The 16,613-nt window shown below is 45.1% G+C and overlaps 1 protein-coding gene across 8 annotated transcripts in view, besides 5 other annotated features; it reads left to right on the top strand.

Annotated features, from left to right (window-relative positions):
• Positions 1-3,291: 3,291 nt before the first annotated feature.
• The window catches only part of ADTRP (androgen dependent TFPI regulating protein), a 65,281-nt gene continuing 51,959 nt past the window's right edge, over positions 3,292-16,613 (top strand). For 6 of the 8 annotated variants that reach the window (NM_032744.4, XM_011514956.2, XM_047419418.1 and 3 more), the window contains exons 1-3: positions 3,292-3,488; positions 13,712-13,846; positions 15,720-15,821. In NM_032744.4, coding sequence (NP_116133.1) covers positions 3,336-3,488; positions 13,712-13,846; positions 15,720-15,821 — 390 coding nt within the window. In that variant the 5' untranslated portion in view covers positions 3,292-3,335. Of the gene's footprint in view, positions 3,489-4,353; positions 4,502-12,010; positions 12,065-13,711; positions 13,847-15,719; positions 15,822-16,613 lie in introns of those variants that run through there. The other 2 variants (NM_001143948.2, XM_047419420.1) reach the window with 2 other exon arrangements.
• Positions 10,562-11,085: an enhancer, noted in NCBI's record as "H3K27ac-H3K4me1 hESC enhancer chr6:11771243-11771766 (GRCh37/hg19 assembly coordinates)". NCBI's record gives its function as "activates a minimal SCP1, AML or CMV promoter by ChIP-STARR-seq in primed H9 embryonic stem cells {active_cell/tissue: H9 hESC(primed)}" and the evidence as "EXISTENCE:reporter gene assay evidence [ECO:0000049][PMID:30033119]".
• Positions 10,562-11,607: a biological region, named in NCBI's record as "H3K27ac-H3K4me1 hESC enhancers GRCh37_chr6:11770721-11771242 and GRCh37_chr6:11771243-11771766".
• Positions 10,905-11,199: an enhancer, noted in NCBI's record as "tiled region #14499; HepG2 Activating non-DNase unmatched - State 20:ReprD, and K562 Activating non-DNase unmatched - State 8:EnhW". NCBI's record gives its function as "activates a minimal TATA promoter and a strong SV40 promoter by Sharpr-MPRA in HepG2 and K562 cells {active_cell/tissue: HepG2 | K562}" and the evidence as "EXISTENCE:reporter gene assay evidence [ECO:0000049][PMID:27701403]".
• Positions 11,086-11,607: an enhancer, noted in NCBI's record as "H3K27ac-H3K4me1 hESC enhancer chr6:11770721-11771242 (GRCh37/hg19 assembly coordinates)". NCBI's record gives its function as "activates a minimal SCP1, AML or CMV promoter by ChIP-STARR-seq in naive H9 embryonic stem cells {active_cell/tissue: H9 hESC(naive)}" and the evidence as "EXISTENCE:reporter gene assay evidence [ECO:0000049][PMID:30033119]".
• Positions 11,608-12,131: an enhancer, noted in NCBI's record as "H3K27ac-H3K4me1 hESC enhancer chr6:11770197-11770720 (GRCh37/hg19 assembly coordinates)". NCBI's record gives its function as "activates a minimal SCP1, AML or CMV promoter by ChIP-STARR-seq in primed H9 embryonic stem cells {active_cell/tissue: H9 hESC(primed)}" and the evidence as "EXISTENCE:reporter gene assay evidence [ECO:0000049][PMID:30033119]".

Below are 16,613 nucleotides of genomic sequence, written 5' to 3'. Positions count from 1 at the left end.
TAAATCCTTATATACATATACATGTTATTTATTAAAATATCATTTTATTAATTATTAATATGTATTAAAATGATATTACATGTTATTAAATCCTTATATATTAATGTCATTATTTATTAAAATGCTAACAATTCATTGGATCCCAATGTAAAACACTAAAACTCTTACAAATAAATTTAAATAATTTTATCAATATTTATGAGAGGCCCCATCTGTGGGCAATGAGGCTAACGTAGAGAAAAAAACCATCTAGGTGGTGAAAGGCCAGTGTCCAGGTTTGGACACACACATCTCAGAGATTTGGGTCTTTGTCTTCCCCTCCTTTCCTACCTTTGCGTCAATCCTTACCCATCTGCAGACTTAGACTTGAGATTTTTTTTTGTATAAAGGAATAAAACCTCTAAATCAACAATGGTGTCTAAAATGAAAACACCCTTGGAGACATTCATTCATTCATATGTGCACCAAGTTTCAAAACATATTGATCCTTTTCTGAGATAATTTTCTGATGAGAGGAGAGAAGAATAAAAGGGACTCGGCCGGGCTCGGTGGCTCACGCCTGTAATCCCAGCACTTTGGGAGGCCGAGATGGGCGGATCACGAAGTCAGGAGATCGAGACCATCCTGGCTAACACGGTGAAACCCCGTCTCTACTAAAAATACAAAAAAAATTAGCCGGGCGTGGTGGCAGGCGCCTGTAGTCCCAGCTACTCGGGAGGCTGAGGCAGGAGAATGGCGTGAACCCGGGAGGCGGAGCTTGCAGTGAGCCGAGATCGCGCCACTGCACTCCAGCCTGGGCGACAGAGCGAGACTCCATCTCAAAAAAAAAAAAAGGGGCACTCAGTAGGGAGAGGAGAAATATCAAAGTGGGAGTCTGAGAGTGTGCAGAGCAACATTGTTCCTTTGTAGGCAGGTACACTGGTTGTATTAGGGTTCTCTAGAGGGACAGAACTAATAGGATGTATGTATATAAGAAGGGGAATTTATTAAGAAGTGACACACAATCACAACAACAGGCCGTCTACAAGTTGAGGAGCAAGAAAGCCAGTGGTGGATCAGTCCGAGTCTCAAAACCTCAAAATTAGAGAAGCCAACAGTGCAGCCTTCAGTCTGTGGCCAAAGGCCCGAAAGTCCCTGGCAAACCATTGGTATACATCTAGGAGTCCAAAAGCTGAAGAACTTGCAGTCCGATGTTCGAGGGCAGGAAGCATCCTGAGAGCATGGGAGAAAGATGAAGTCCGGAAGACTCAGCAAGTCTAGTCCTTCCACGTTCCTCTGCCTGCTTTATCCTAGCCACGCTGGCAGCTGATTAGATGGTGCCTACCCAGACTGAGGGTGGGTTTGCTTCTCCCAATCCACTGACTCAAATGTTAATCTCCTTTGGCAACACCCTCACAGACACACCCAGCAGCAATACTTTGCATCCTTCGAACCAATCAAGTTGACACTCAATATTAACCATCACACTGAGTTCAGACGGCAGCTCTGCCTCTTACAAAGTGTTGAACACATCCTTTTAGCAGATCGGGCTTCAATTTCCTCATCTGAAAATGTACTTAATTCGTAATAGTACTTACCTCATAGTGTTATTTAGAGTGCTAATCAGCTAATATGTGTAAAGCAACTGGAACAATGTTTAGCAAACAGTAAGTACTATAAAAGTATTAGCTTCTGTTATTATTTGCAATTTAGCCCAGGCTGTGGAGTTTTGTACAGAGTTTTATGTACCCATTTCCCAGATCACCCCTTCCTTTGAGAATGGTTTGCTATGGTCTATGTTTGTGTTCCCTGCAAATTCCTATGTTGAAATCTTAACTCCCAGGGTGATGGCATTAGGAGAGGGGAGCTTTCCGAGGTGATTAGGTCATGAGGGCAGCATCTCCATGAATGGGATTAGTGACCTTATAAAACAGGCCTCAGGGAGCTTGTTTGCCCCTTCTACCACATGAGGACTCAGCCAGAAGGCACTATTTATGAACCAGGAAACCGACCCACATTAAACACCAGGCACTCTGTCAGCATCTTGATGTTGGACTTCCAGCCTCCAGAACTGAGAAATAAATTTCTGTTGTTTCCAAGCTTCCCAGTTTACAGTATGTTGTTATAGCAGCCCCAACAGATGAAAAAAAAAAAAAAAAAAAAAAACATGGTTACAATGCAGAACTCCATGGCGGGCTCAGGTTTGCTCTCCTCCCATCTCCCAATCCTGATATTGGGAGTCTGTTGACTCTTAGGAGGTGGGTTTGTTTATGGTTTGTCCTCCTTGTCCAGCCTACAGTTCTTTCTGCTAGTACTTTTAAGCCCTGGTTAAGTCATTGAAAAGCACCAATTACAGACTTACATAACTGTGTCAGGAGCATTTCTCTGAGGGATTTGCTCACCCCTCGGAGTCAGTTGCCCAGGGAAACAAGCTGGCGATGTCACAAGGCATCCACTTCTAGTTCTTCCTCAGTTCCCTTCTGTGGAACCTGAGTCAGAGCCTAGTCCGGCATGCTGCCTAGCCCAGCCACGTCTCATCCTATTCATGGCAGAGCGGGGACTCTCACCCTCTCCCAGCAATGTCTAAAGTCAGGTATTTTGGGGTCATGGCCATAGTAAGGATGGTCTCCTGTGCTGCTTCTTCCCTCCCAGGGCACAGAAATGCCTATGCAAATGGAGTGTCTAGGACAGCCCTGGGTTACTCTTGGTTCTCTAGGGTATAGTTACAAAAGTGAAAAAAAAAAGAAAAGAAACCATTGGAGCTGCTCCCTGGAGGATCAAAGGTTGTTGCAGACTTTCTAGAATCTCAGAGACCTCAGGAGCAAAATTACAACACACTTTTCCTTTCTACTGTTCATGCCCTAAGCACACCCATGATCTGGTTTATCAACCTGCTCCTCCTTTTCTCAAGAGATAAGGTTGCAACTTCCTTGTTATATGCAAATGAAAAGAAAAGAGACTACAGCCATGGAAGTATTTCGCTAGATTTTCCTAGTATTTCATGCTTACTTCATTTAACCATGCCCCTGCCCCAGTGCCCTAGTGAAACAGTACAATGTACAGCTCTTGCATTGCTACCTGCCCTTCTCAAAGCCCACATGTTGTATTTTATGCAAATCTACAGATTATCTATCATTATCTAAATGCAGGCATCTGAAAACCAGCAGTAATCCTGCCTCTGAAGTTTATCAGGAAAGGAGCTTAAAAGAGAACCAAATTCAGCCTGTGTTGGAACTCTCAGTCCCAGAGGGGTGTGGTTTGTAGCTCTCCGGCCTGCTGTTGGACTTAGGCTGTGACCCACAGAAGGACGCCAGAAAGTACTCAAGACATTCACGGTGCCCCGGTCAGCACTCGCCATGACGAAGACTTCTACATGCATATACCACTTCCTTGTTCTGAGCTGGTATACTTTCCTCAATTATTACATCTCACAGGAAGGAAAAGACGAGGTGAAACCCAAAATCTTGGCAAATGGTGCAAGGTGGAAATATATGACGCTGCTTAATCTGGTAAGTCCATATGTCCGTACCAGGAACCGATCCATTTCTCTAGAATATCAGTGCTGCCACACATATCATCTTTGGATTTTATTAAATACACAATTTTGTTATTTGTCTTCCTTCTTCACCGTTTTGTGAGTTTTGGGTTTTTTGTTTACTTAACAATTTGCTCTGATAAACCCAATTTGGAAATTATCTATAGTTAACATTTCTATGCTGGCTCATTGTTAAATGCTCTCTTGAAAAAAAAAATCTCATCTTGGAGCTCTTTTCAGATGAGCTCAAAGAGGGGACCATGCTAATGGTTTCACCATGGGATTAACTACAAATGCAGGAGGCATTTTGAACTTTGCTTGGGGAAGTCTGTGAAGAGAAGGCAGAGTGGCGTATGGTGTGTAGGAAGTGTAATTTCCAATGAAGGAATAATGCCATTTTACAGCACACACAGACTAACAGATTTATCTAAGAAAAGCAAACACATTTTGCCATGTTCAGCTCCCACCTCAATTTTTTATAGGTTCAGGCTCCATCTTAAAGGACAAATCACCCAACCGAATGGCAAATACACATTTTCAACTATTTAAAAACCAATCTTATGACTTACTCCTTTCTTGTCTTCCTAACCTGGCTGACTGCATTCTGATGAAGTGTGAATGAATGGGAGAAAAGCAGATTATGAAAAATACTTTGAGGAATAGCTTAAAAAAATACTTTTAAAGTTAAAAGCTAATAATGGGGAATCATTTGGGGATGTGAATTAATATTTGAGGTTTTTGACTAAAATCTTGGGTGCCACATAAACATCTGTTTTCAGAATTGTAATCCTCATTTGACAAGCGGAGAATGTATGTGGTCAGAAACTGTGACACTCTGAAATGCTAAGGACGTGGAAATGGAGAGAGTTAAAATCAAAGAGGCCCAAAGTGGCTGCTTCCTCCTCACTGGTTGGTTAGTGGCCTCTTGATTTGGGCCTGAAAAATTGGAACCCTGAACACAGCTCTAGTGTCTTTGAAAACTTCAAGGTGACTACTTGTTTCAATCATGGAATTTTATGAGAAAAACAAACAGAAACAAAACAAAAAATGTTTTTTGTATAACTAGCAGTGCCACAGTAAACAACAACAACAAAAAACCACACACACACACGCGCATACACACACACCCCTAAGGTTTGTGTCTCTATTGGCTTTCTATGAAAAACAGTCCACTAAAAGGGAAGTGTGTCTGTAGTTAGGACTGACTTTCTAATAAAATCCAATTCCAGTATGAATGTCCTACCTCACACTATGTGTGGCTAAGAATAGATTTATCACCACACTCATTAACTAGCTCCCTTACCTCTTTGTATACACACACACACACACACACAACTGATCCTGACTTTTTAATTCTAGCTCACCTACATTTCCAAGAGCCCTTATTTTCCAAGAGTGAGAAAAGTCTCTTATCTTGTCAATGATACTATCATTTCCTAGTGTTAATCCCAATTTTGCTTCCCTGATTGATCAGCTACCAAATCCTATTAGTTTTTCCTTTTACTAAGTTCATCCTTTCTTCTTCAACCTTACTACTGTCTCTCTCATTCCAGGCTTATATTAAGCCTACCTGGATGACCATATCATCTCTTTACTGTCCATTCATGGTCCAATCCAGCCACTTAGATTCCAAATTAATCTTCTCAAAGCACTGGTTTTGGTTTGTTTTTTAATACCATGACCTGGATCTAAAAGTGTGGCCTGCCGCTCAGGAAACCACAGTGGCTCCCTCCTGCCTCATGGACCCAATGTCAAACTCCCGATTCAAGAGCTCACCTGCCCAACCAGCCTTTCGGGTTCCCTCTCCCTGGGAGGCTGGTCTCTTCTGCAGTAAGGACTGCGTCTCACTAGTATTGGTCCTTGGGCTTCCTGCTGTCACTTCTCTGCCCGGTGTTCTCTCTATCCTTAGAAGAAAGGCCTACTTACCTCTCTCCACCACATTGCTTCTTTCATAGAACATTGGGAATCACATATACTCCTCCCAAATCCTTGCTGACCAACTCCAGTCCAAATTTCCTTTTCCTTTCTCTGATTTTCACAGCATCTCTCAGTCTCTGCTGATTTATATGTAGTATTGTTTTCTAATTCCCTCTCTCCCTGCCATGTGAGTCTTAACATTCCAATCAAACTTTGGCTCCAAAACAGAAGTTTTTTTTAATCTTAGGTCCTTGCCAACCCTAACTGTCTATATTTCTACCTTGAATTCAGCACAGTGGCTGGCACAGGATACCCAGATATTAAAAAGCTGCGACTTGGTACGTTGACGTGACCTCAGCCTTTCTGCATCCTCAAGCAGTCCCTCTCTTCTGGTATCTTCTGGCCCTCGTAAATAAGCTGAGAGGGGCTTGCCTGTGGTGATTTTCTTTCTGAGCTCCATTAGGAGTCATCTTGAAAGTGTGACCTAATGAAATGCTTCCCAACTGGTGAAGATGGGTTGAGTGTATTTCAGAGGATCGATTTAATGTAGATTTCGAATATGTTGCTTAAGGTGAAATATTGGACCTGCAAATGTCTAGCTCTTGAGATTCATGGGCTGATTAATGGTTGTGTCTCCTAATGATTAATTAGTGTTCATTCATGACTAATTAATTGGTGGTTGTGTTTATTAAGTCATAAAGGTCTCACAACTTACGCTCACATTCTTATATTTATTTTACCTCACCTTGGGGAAGTTAGTATCCAGTCCTGATTACCAGAAAATTTACACCCCTCCTCGTAAACAGCTTGAATTTCTAATTGGCTGAGTATCATTTTTGTCCCCTTTGTAAGAGCAAAGCCCCCTTTTGTGCCAGTTGGCACTGTGAGCATTGCCCCAGTTCCCCTTGAAGCTATCCCAGGGGACTGGAAGGGGAGACAGACAGGAGACAGGAGACAGACACGAGTTGCACTGAGCTACTCCCCTGGGGTTGGTGGTAGTGGCTAAGGTGCCATTGAGAATTGGTCAGGGTGACCCATTTCTGACTAAGGAGAGTGAAGGTAGGAGAGGACAGATGGGAGTCTCTGCCTAATAAGAGAGTAAACTGACCTCAGTGAAGGGGCCACTGATTCCCTGCTGGGAGGGAGAGGTGGTATTTCACAATGGTTACAATTGCGATCTCTGGGATGGTACCTCAGTCCCACTGCTTACTGCCCCCGAGACCCTGGGCTAGGCACTTCTTTGTGTCTTTCATTTCCACGTCTGTCAAATAGAAATAAAAATAGTACCTAACCATAGGGTAGCCATGGGGGAGAAATGATCTGACAGGTGGGAAGCGCTCAGAATGGCGTCAGCAGGGTGTTAGGCAGTGGACAGTGGGGAGAGAAGATGGGGAGGTGATGGTGAACTTCTCTGGGTAGAGAAGGTGATGCAGGAGGGTGACTTAGTAGAACATCAGTCTCCTCACTGAGCACCTAGGTTGTTGCGGGGTGGAGGCCAGCAGGAGTCATCCACCCCCTTCCCCTTCATGGCTACTATTTCTCCCTCCCCGAGCTGCATGCCCCATCTTCCCAGCTGGAGAAGGACCACTGTCGAGCCACTGCTCTCCCTGCTGTAGCTGCCCGCAGGCACCAGGCCGTCCTGGTGGTAGAGTCTGCAGGCTCCAGCAGACAGCCATGCAGAATGGGGAACCCCAGAGGCTAGGCGTGAGACCAAGGCAGTGCCATGGGTGTCCTCAAGCAGCTTAGGTTGGCTCAGATCATCCAGTGCCTGAGTCCTCCACAAATGCTATGTCCCTTGCTCTCTGTCCACCCCATTTCCATCCAGGGACTGTCCCTAATCCCAGAGAATATGAGCTAGGGGGTTTAGGGCAAGGCTCAGCAGCCACAGCTTGGCTCGCAGAATTCATTCAGTTTATTAGGGTTTCCTCTTTTTAAAGATAAGCTTCCTTCTGAAACATTGTTAGAGGTGGGGCCACATAACTGGGATCTCCAGGGGAGATTCTGAGTGGGCCCCTCCCTCCCCACGCCCCTGACACCCCCTTCAACAACAGAAGCATGACCTTTCCCTCCCTTTTCATAAGTTGCCCAAGCCCCAGGCAGCTCCGTCGTCATCACCCTCAACTTCTCATGATGACAACAGTGGCAATACCACATAAGTCCTTGGGGTTGCTGGCCTGGGGCTGGGGGAACAGAGGAGCTGGGAGGCCTCTATGGGTCTAAACTTCAAGGCAGCCTGTGAACAGTGAGAAGATGGGGTTGAATTTATAGTATGGCACCCACTTCAACACTTGGGGGACCAACCTTAAGTAATAATCTATGGCACTATTTATTTATTTATTTATTTATTTATTTTTGAGATGGAATCTCTCTCTGTTCCCCCAGGCTGGAGTGCAGTGGCACAATCTTGGCTCACTGCAACCTCTGCCTCCTGGGTTCAGGTAATTCTCCTGCCTCAGCCTCCTCAGTAGCTGGGACTACAGCATGCACCACCATGCCTGGCTAATTTTTTTTGTATTTTTAGTAGAGATGGGGTTGCACCATGTTGGCCAGGTTGGTCTCAAACTCCTGACCTTGTGATCCGCCTGCCTTGGCCTCCCAAAGTGCTGGGATTACAGGCGTGAGCCACCGCACCCAACCCCTATGGCACTCTTCAGCAACGTGGAGTCAGAAATACACTTAACTATTTCTGCCTCACAAAGATGCACTTCAATAGCTGAAAGGGTAAGGACTGAGAGAACTATGTGATAGTCACCACCAGCACCCAAAATAAAGCAGCTATAAATTATTGAGCAAGTAACTATGACAGCATTTTGGTAGGTTCTTTGGACGCAGTATAGAGATGAGTGATTGAAGACCTGGCTTCTGAAACCAGAACACTGGCTGTGCTCACTTGCTGTGTGATTTTGAGTGACTTGCCTAACTTCTCTGTGCTTCAGTTTTCTCATGTGCAGTGGATACTCTGATAAGGCACCCAGATCCTCATACCTCCCCAGCGCTGAGGTACTCAGTCCCCAGCTCTCAGGAGTGTTGGCTGCTGATGGTGCAAAGCTGAGATCCCCTCCCAGAATTGCCCTCAGCAGAAGGGAGCTGCCTCGACCAAGGTTTAGGTCCCTCCCTGGCGTTGCTGCCTGCCATAACTGGCATCCAATATGGGGTGCAAATGCTGCACTCCCGGACAGCTCTGAACGAGCAGCTCAGCTCAGAGCTCCTCAAGGGATCAGCTGATTCCATGCAACTGCCCAGCACTTAGCCTCCCCCACTTCAATCCTTCTCCCTTTTTGCCTCTCATAGATGTCTGAGAGCGTTCTTCAGTGAACATCCTGCAGGCACATCTCAGAATCTCAGATTGTTTCCCACGGAACCTGACCTGCATCGTGTAAAATACCAAACATACAGAAAAGGTTTCTCTCCCTCCTCTTCCTCCTCCCCCTTCTCCTCATCATCTTCTTCCACTTCTTCTTTTCCTAATTCCAGATAAAGACACTAACACAGAGCTTTCCCTGGCCTGTATTATGTTCTGATACCTCACCGACAATTTCTGTACCTAACTGACATTCCGTGAATGTTGGTTGAATGAGTGAATGACCAGAACATGGTTCTAACAGGCATGAGGCCATCCCATCATGAAGGTGTTTTATCCCACAGCCACCCTACTGCTGTACTGAAGCCCGTTGTCCTCAGCTATGCGACATTGGCCAAGCATTCTGGTACTTCTTTCCAACCTGTCCCTTGATGCTCTTGGTCTCATTTTTCTCTTCATTATTCCAAACTGTGGTTCTGCACATTCTTTCTCCTCCTGTGTTCTTTATTGCATCCTTTAATCTCAGTTTCTTAAGTTAAATGTGTATGAATGATGACAGAAATCCTATATTCCATACGAATACAGATATACTTGGCAAAGTACCTGCCCCAAACACAACCACCACTGTTATATAAAGGACTCATCACAGCCCCCAATTGCTGTTTTCTTCTGGTGTAGTCTTCCACCGCAAATTCTTGCATCATTTCAAAGGAGAGAAATAAGAAAGTCCCGCCTGGCTGAGTCAGGCACAGTCCTGAGTTAGGTGTTGGATTACTTGACTCATCCAATAAGACTTGTAATGTCTTGCTCAGGAAACTTGTGGAATCTCCCTCCCTGGAATTACTTTTTAAATAGAAGAAATTCTCATTTCCTAAGGTAGTTTAAAGAGAGAGGGCTCTGGCTTAAAGGCAAGAGATAAGCTTGATGACTTGGAAAGGCTAAGCTTCCACGATTTGAAGATTTTTGTGGGTTTGTGAAAACACATGAATGTAAAAACTAAATATCCTTTAACTGCAGTTTTTTGAATTGCATTAGTTATTTAAAAGTGTCAATTCAGCTTTGTCGCAGGTGTTAGTTTGTCAGCTAGCAACAGAAACAAAAGACAGCTAACGAACTCAGAAGCAGCATTTCAGGAAAAGGCACGGAACACGCAGTGGGAACAGAATTAGGGAAGAACCAGGAGAAAGGATAAATCAGGGAGCAGCAGGTCTGAAATAAACTTAGAATAAGTAGATGCCGTTACGTCTGGGCTTTTCTGGGCGGCCAAAATAGCTGTGAAATGTAAATGATAGTAATTTTGTTGTAAGAGTCTCAAAAGAAGACCAGTTGTGGCGATCATATTTTAATGCTACTGTATAGTTTCCTAGGGCTGCCGTAACAAACTACCATGGACTGGGCTTACACAACAGAAATTGATTTTCTCATAGTTCTGGAGGCTGGAAGTTGAAGATGTGGGCAAGGTCGGTTTCTCCTGAGGCCTCTGTCCTTGGCTTGCAGATGGCCGCCTTCTCCCTGTGCCCTCACGTGGTCTTCCCTCTGTGTGTGTCTGTAGTCCTCATCTCCCTTTCTGATAAGGACACCAGTCATAGTGAATTAGGGTGCACCATCGTGACCTCATTTTAACTTCATCACCACTTTAATACAGTCATATTCTGAGGTCCTGGAGGTTAGGATTTCGACATATGAATTTGGTGGTGGTTGGTGGGGGATATAAATTAGCCCATAACAGCTAACATTGCCTCCCCTGATCGCTCCGTCTGTTATCGTGAGTCAAGCTCATCCTGAGTTTTATAAACATTGCATCGTCTTTGGAGAATAAGCAGACCGTTCGGGTGGGATGGGCTGATCCACACCTGTCCCTGCTGCCCTCCTGGAAGCCTCCCCATGGAGCCTGGGAGAGGCTCTCTCGCTCTCCGTGTGCCCCAGCTGCTCCTGGCAGCCCCTTCACGCCCCAGCTCTTGCAGGTTTCTTTTCCTTGGCGGCTCCCTAGTGCCTCCCTCCTGAGCCCCCACGCGGGGGTTCCACCTGCTTGTGGTGAATTCGGACAAAGACGCCTCAATGTTGAGTAAGCTCGATGGCGACAGGGCTGCCTGGCACACACCGTGGGCACCTAGAGAGGCCCGTGTGCCATAAGCCTGAGAAGTAACCGTGAGCTGGGGTGGAGAGGGAGAGGGGATTGACAAGTTGGAGGTGTAAAGCAAGTTTTTATTGATGGAGAAGGCCCGGAGGATCTGAGTAATGCGTTCTTTCCCCCAATCCGATTTCCACATCCTGTGACTGGGAGAGGCAGGAGAAAGTCAGGAGGAGCTTGACTCACGATGACTCTAGGAAGCTCCAGCCTGAGGAAAGCAGGTCACATGGACTTCACACGCCGGGCGGAGGCGGCCTCTCCCCAGAGAGGGAAGGCCTGGCCCAGGCTCAGGATGGGATTAATTGCCCTGCTGATAGAACAGCGCAGGCCTCTTCCCCTGGGCCCAAGCCTGTGCCTGCTCTTCCTAACTACAGCAGCAGCCTGGCCTGCTGCGGCCTGAGCGGCTGGAAGTGAAACCAGGGTGAGGCGAGGCTACTGGTGGGGGAGGGAGAGAGGAGGGAACTTCTCCCAACTCCCTGTGCAAATGACTACACATCCAAATTCTGCAGCCCTGAGGGTGTGAATGTCAAAATCACCAGCAATAATGAGAAGTATTAGGGTGGCAACCCCTTCCTGCCATTTAAAGCTGTTGCCCCACCCCTCCCTGGGACACCCCTTTCTGGTTCGAAAGCTCCTCCACCCCAGGGCCCATGATTTCCTATCTTCTGGCTCTTCTACCCCCGGCCGTTCTTTAGTACCTTTATGTCCCTTTCCCTTCCTGTCCCTTAGACAAGGACCTTTCCCTGCTGTCTGCTGCCTGCTTTTCTGTTCTCCCCTCTCCTCTCTCCCTTTCCTGCAATCTTGTTCCACAGGAGGGCTCAACAGCCTGCATCTCCCCAGCCCCGCCTCTCTTGAGACTGCAGGGTCTGAATTTCCAAACGGAAGTTCCTCCAGGCAGGTGGTTCTCAGCCTCAGCTGCCCGTGATTAGAATCACCTGGGAGGATTTTAAAAATCCCAACCCCTAGGCCCTAGCCCCAGACTGATTACATTAGAATCTCTGGGGGTGGGAACCAGGCAGCGGTGGTTTGTGAAGTGGTCGTTCATTCTCCCACCTGGAGATAATTGTCTCTCTTCTGACCTCCCACAATGCTTTATCTGAACTACGCTCAGAAACCTGATAATTTTTTTTATTTTTTCGAAGTCTAGCTCAAGAACAGGACTGCTGGGTTTGACATCTACCAGCCAGGAAGCTTTAGGCAGGTTTGTTTCCTCGTTTGTAAAATGGTGGTGGGCGGGGGAGTCTAATGATAGGACTTGGCTCGTAAGGTTGTTATGAGAATGAAACACAGTTCAGTGCCTGGCACATACCAAGTAATGAATAAAAGTCCGCTTTATAGCTTTGAGTAGTAAGATTTTTGAGGGCTAAACTTGGGTCTCATTCAGTGGTTCTAGCTTTAGCCTACATAAAGATTAAATAATCTTTTTCTACATTTAAAATCTATATTTTATATTCTGTAAAGTGTATCTTAATAAGGTTGGCCAAAAATTTCTTTTTTTTTTTTAACTTTTATTTTACATTCAAGGGTACATTTGCAGGTTTGTTATATAAGTATAGATTATTTTGTGACCCGGGTAATCAGCTTAGTACCCAATAGGTAGTTTTTCAATTTCTCCCCTCATCCCACCCAGATAAACAATCTTTAACAAGCTCTGGAGAAGCTTCTTAAAAAACAAACTCTTGGACCCCATTTCCAGAGATTTTGATTCCGTAGTCTGGGATAGGATGGAGGTCCTGCATTTCTAACAAGCTCCTGGGTGATGGGTGTAGCTGGTCTGACCCACCTCTGTATCATTTCCTGCCTACGCCCTCAGCCCAGGAGCAGCATGTGGCTGACTTTGCTAGGTCTTTCCTAGAGTCCAGAGCTCAAAGATTGTTCCCCAACAGCCACCTTGATCAATCCCCAGCCCAGCTCCCCAGGCTCTAGAACCTTCCTGACTTATACCCTAAAAGCAGAGTCCAGACCACCCCTCTTGTACCAGTCCAGGGCTTTCAAGGATTTGGATGGATTCTGTCGCAAGCCTAACTTAACCCCACCCCCCAAACTCCATATCTTCATGACCTACCAGTTCTTAAATGAGAAACCACAGAACTGTACAAAGCAACAAGAATGTACAAAGCTTGCCTTCCATATCGTATTACTTTCTTGAAAAATACCCTCCTTCTCTTTCTCCTGGCTTTGGGGGCCACACAGCACTTAGTAACCCACCAGCGCTCATGGCTTGCTCTATCCCCTTGGATTTAAATTGCTGCCACGGCCAGATTGTCTCGGTGAGGCCTGCAGGTGCCCTATTTAAGGAAGAAAGTGCACCGGCTCTTCTTCGGCTGAGCAAGGCACCCTTTTGTGTGCCTTTCTTGGGAGAGCACAGAGATTCGTGGTGGTCCTCTTGACCTGATTCCAGTTTCTCTAGTGAGATTTCAGCACTAGGCATTTTTCCTAATTTTCCTTCCCAGGAAGACTCCTGACTCTGTCCACCCTGTATCTGCCTCTTTGCCTTTGAGCTGTTTATTTGGTTCTTCCAACCTCTGTGCCGTCAAGGTATCCATCTCCTTACATTCCCCTTTTAGGCTGACTCTTTATTTTGTTTCCATGTTAGCTCAAGTCCATTACACTAAATACTGTACACATTATTGTCCCCTAAACAAATTTGCTCAATCAGTCTTAGCGAGCAGGGTCAGGACCCAATGAGCTGGAAGCCCAGCCCTTGAATTGGCTCTCAACCAAAACAACCCAACAGCCCTCTCCCTCTCAAAGCCACATTACTCTCAGAGGGATGGAGTTTTCCATCAGTGAAGAAGGTATTAATTAAAGTAAATGAAAATGCCCTCATTTGTTGTAATGGATTTAGCTCTTGCAGACCATTTTCTACGGGGTCACCTGCCTGGATGATGTGCTGAAAAGAACCAAAGGGGGAAAAGACATTAAGTTCCTAACTGCCTTCAGAGACCTGCTTTTCACCACTCTGGCTTTTCCTGTATCCACGGTAAGTTTCAAAGATGTGTACATAATCTAACAGAAATGTGCATATGGACAGACGCTTCTCCTGGGCAGCCAAGCTGTTTGGGAGCCCATAATTGGAAACCACACCCACTGCATTTACAACAATGTCCTGTCTGAGGACTGCGCCACATTGCCCAGTGTCTTTAGGAAATATGGCACATTAGTGATCAGCTTTATCACTAGCTTTTGTACCTCTGCAAAGGCTTGGTACAAGGTCCTTATTGCCGTCTAATGGGGAAGTTTGAAAGACCTTTCTTAATCAAAATACAACTGAGACAACCTTGGTTCCATCAGGGTGATGGGAATGGAGAGCCCTGGGGAGGGAGATGACGAATTTTCCCCTTTTATACATCTTGTTTCACTTGCTACGATAAGTATATGTTACTTCTGCAAGTGGAAAACCATCAAATAATTTTTTTTTTGAAAAGAGATATGAGACCTTCAAAGGTGGCACATGGAAAAGACAACCGAGGAGAGAAAGACAGCCTGGTGTGGGGTACACAGTGGGTGCCTCATTCATGTTGCTGAGTGGATGGATGTCAGGAAGAAGTGAGACATATGGCAGGGACAGTAAGCTGGTATGCTGATGCCATCCACATTTCTATGACATTGTTCATGTTTTCCATTCGTTAGCTAGAATGGAAATAAACAGAGATCAGGCATGCTGGCTGCCCAGCAGGGCCTATAATTAGAAATGACTACCTTCTTCTACCTGTCATTGTCCTGCTTCCTATAGTACAGAACTTAATTTAAATGCAAAATGCAACTCTCCAAGCCCTAGTGAGTTCTCTGATAACAAAGCAAGGATACCTATTACTTTGCAGGATACCTCTACCTCTGCCCACGTAAAATCTTCTAATGACCAAGCTTTTTGGTTTTGGGGGGTAGGGGAGGGGTTTGAGATAAAGTCTCACTCTGTTGCCCAGACTGGGGTGCAGTGGTGTGATCTCGATTCACTGCAGCCTCAACCTCCCAGGCTCAAGTGATCCTCCTGTCTCACCTGGCTACTTTTTTGTATTTTTGGTAGAGACATGGTTTTGCCATGTCGCCCAGGCTGATCTCGAACTCCTGAACTCAAGTGATCTGCCTGCCTTGGCCTCCCAAAGTGCTAGGATTACAGGCATGAGCCACCAAGTCTGGCTATAGCCAAGTTTTTAAAATCAACAGTGAAGTCTGTTTATTTTTTGAGGCTTAGAAATGGAGTGTGTGAAATGTCAGAAGATAGGAAGATCAGAAGTTTAATAGTTTTTAACTTCCTTATCTATGCGTTGACTTCGTAGCATAGAGGATAGATGCTTTGACAAGAGAGGCAAGGAGTACAAGAGGAGATCAATTCAAAGTTCTGAGCACCAGGGAGATCCAGCCCTCAGTCAGCTAGCTTGTGCATTTTCCAGGGAGATTGGCACTTATGGTTCTCAGGCTTCCTGCTTCCCCTAGCCATGCCTATTTAGAGGGTGGACAAGGAACGTGTATGACTCAAGCTACTCCATGTGCCTACTCTCAGCATTCCTGGTGAAAGTTTAGAAAAAGAAGTTATTGGTTAAAATAAATGACTAATGGTCTGGGAATCCTGTTTATTCATATCTTCTCTGCCTGCCACGATGACAAATAATTGATCTCTAACTCTCTGGCACATTGAGGAATCCCCAGAAAGAGCAGATATAGCAATGAAATAAAGGGAAGAATGCTTATTGTAGAATTACTGTAATGTATATGTACTACATTCCTATAATGTATATGTAAGATATCTTTAAAATGGTTGTCTGTTTTTATTTAGCTGTGTTTCCTTGATTATCTTAGAAAGCTCTGATTAAAAACAAGCCTAATGATGCTATTTTTTGTGTTTTATTTTCCAGTTTGTATTTTTGGCATTCTGGATCCTCTTTCTCTACAATCGAGATCTCATTTACCCCAAGGTCCTAGATACTGTCATCCCCGTGTGGCTGAATCATGCAATGGTGAGTGAGGGGAAAATTCAGTGAACTCAGAACACCAATAGCCTCTGTACTGAAAACTCCACAGTGCCTTATCTATGTTTCCAAATGTCTCAATTCCCAGCATCCAATCTACCTCATCACTGTTTATTTAAAGGGCATATTGAAGGTATGAAATGAACACAAGCCAGTGCTATAATTACAGTGAGTCTACTGAGAACACAGGAGATGTCCAGGTGAGAGTCTGCCATGTTGCTTAGGAAGTCTTTGAAAAGACACACAGTTCTGAGAGGACAGGCCTGAAAGAGAAGTGACTTCTGCAAATATGTCATAAACTTCCGATGTGTGGATGGAATGAAGTAAGCTTTAAAAAAAAAGCCCACCCCAACATCCAAAGAATATCTCATAGCTGAGCAGCAGCTACTTAAGTAACACACTTTGTCACGATTCTGCATCACAAATGGGATTAACATTTACATATTTCTAGGAATACATTTCCATTTGGTTTTTTATTCAGGCTTGTGTTTTGGAGAGGCCGAATAGTAAACAGAGGCTGTTCTGAGATTTTTAGGTCACTGGAACCTGAATATCAGTAACAGGGACCCAAACAAGCAAGGCTGGCATGAGGTTGCCAGGTCTCGGTTGGAGGAGGATAACTGAATCATCGGCACAATGTGAACAAAGTAATTGTTCAAATACCTAACTCAGCTTCTCAATACTTACAAATGTATCTCCACATCAACCAGGAGATTATAAAAAGGTCTCAGATTCTGTGAAGGTAATGACATTTAAATACCCAGGGGATAGCCGGGTGTG

This window comes from Homo sapiens, chromosome 6 (assembly GCF_000001405.40).
Source record: "Homo sapiens chromosome 6, GRCh38.p14 Primary Assembly".
Lineage (NCBI taxonomy): Eukaryota > Metazoa > Chordata > Mammalia > Primates > Hominidae > Homo > Homo sapiens.
Note: the sequence above shows the minus strand (reverse complement) of the source record. Positions and strands in the feature narration are given on the sequence as shown.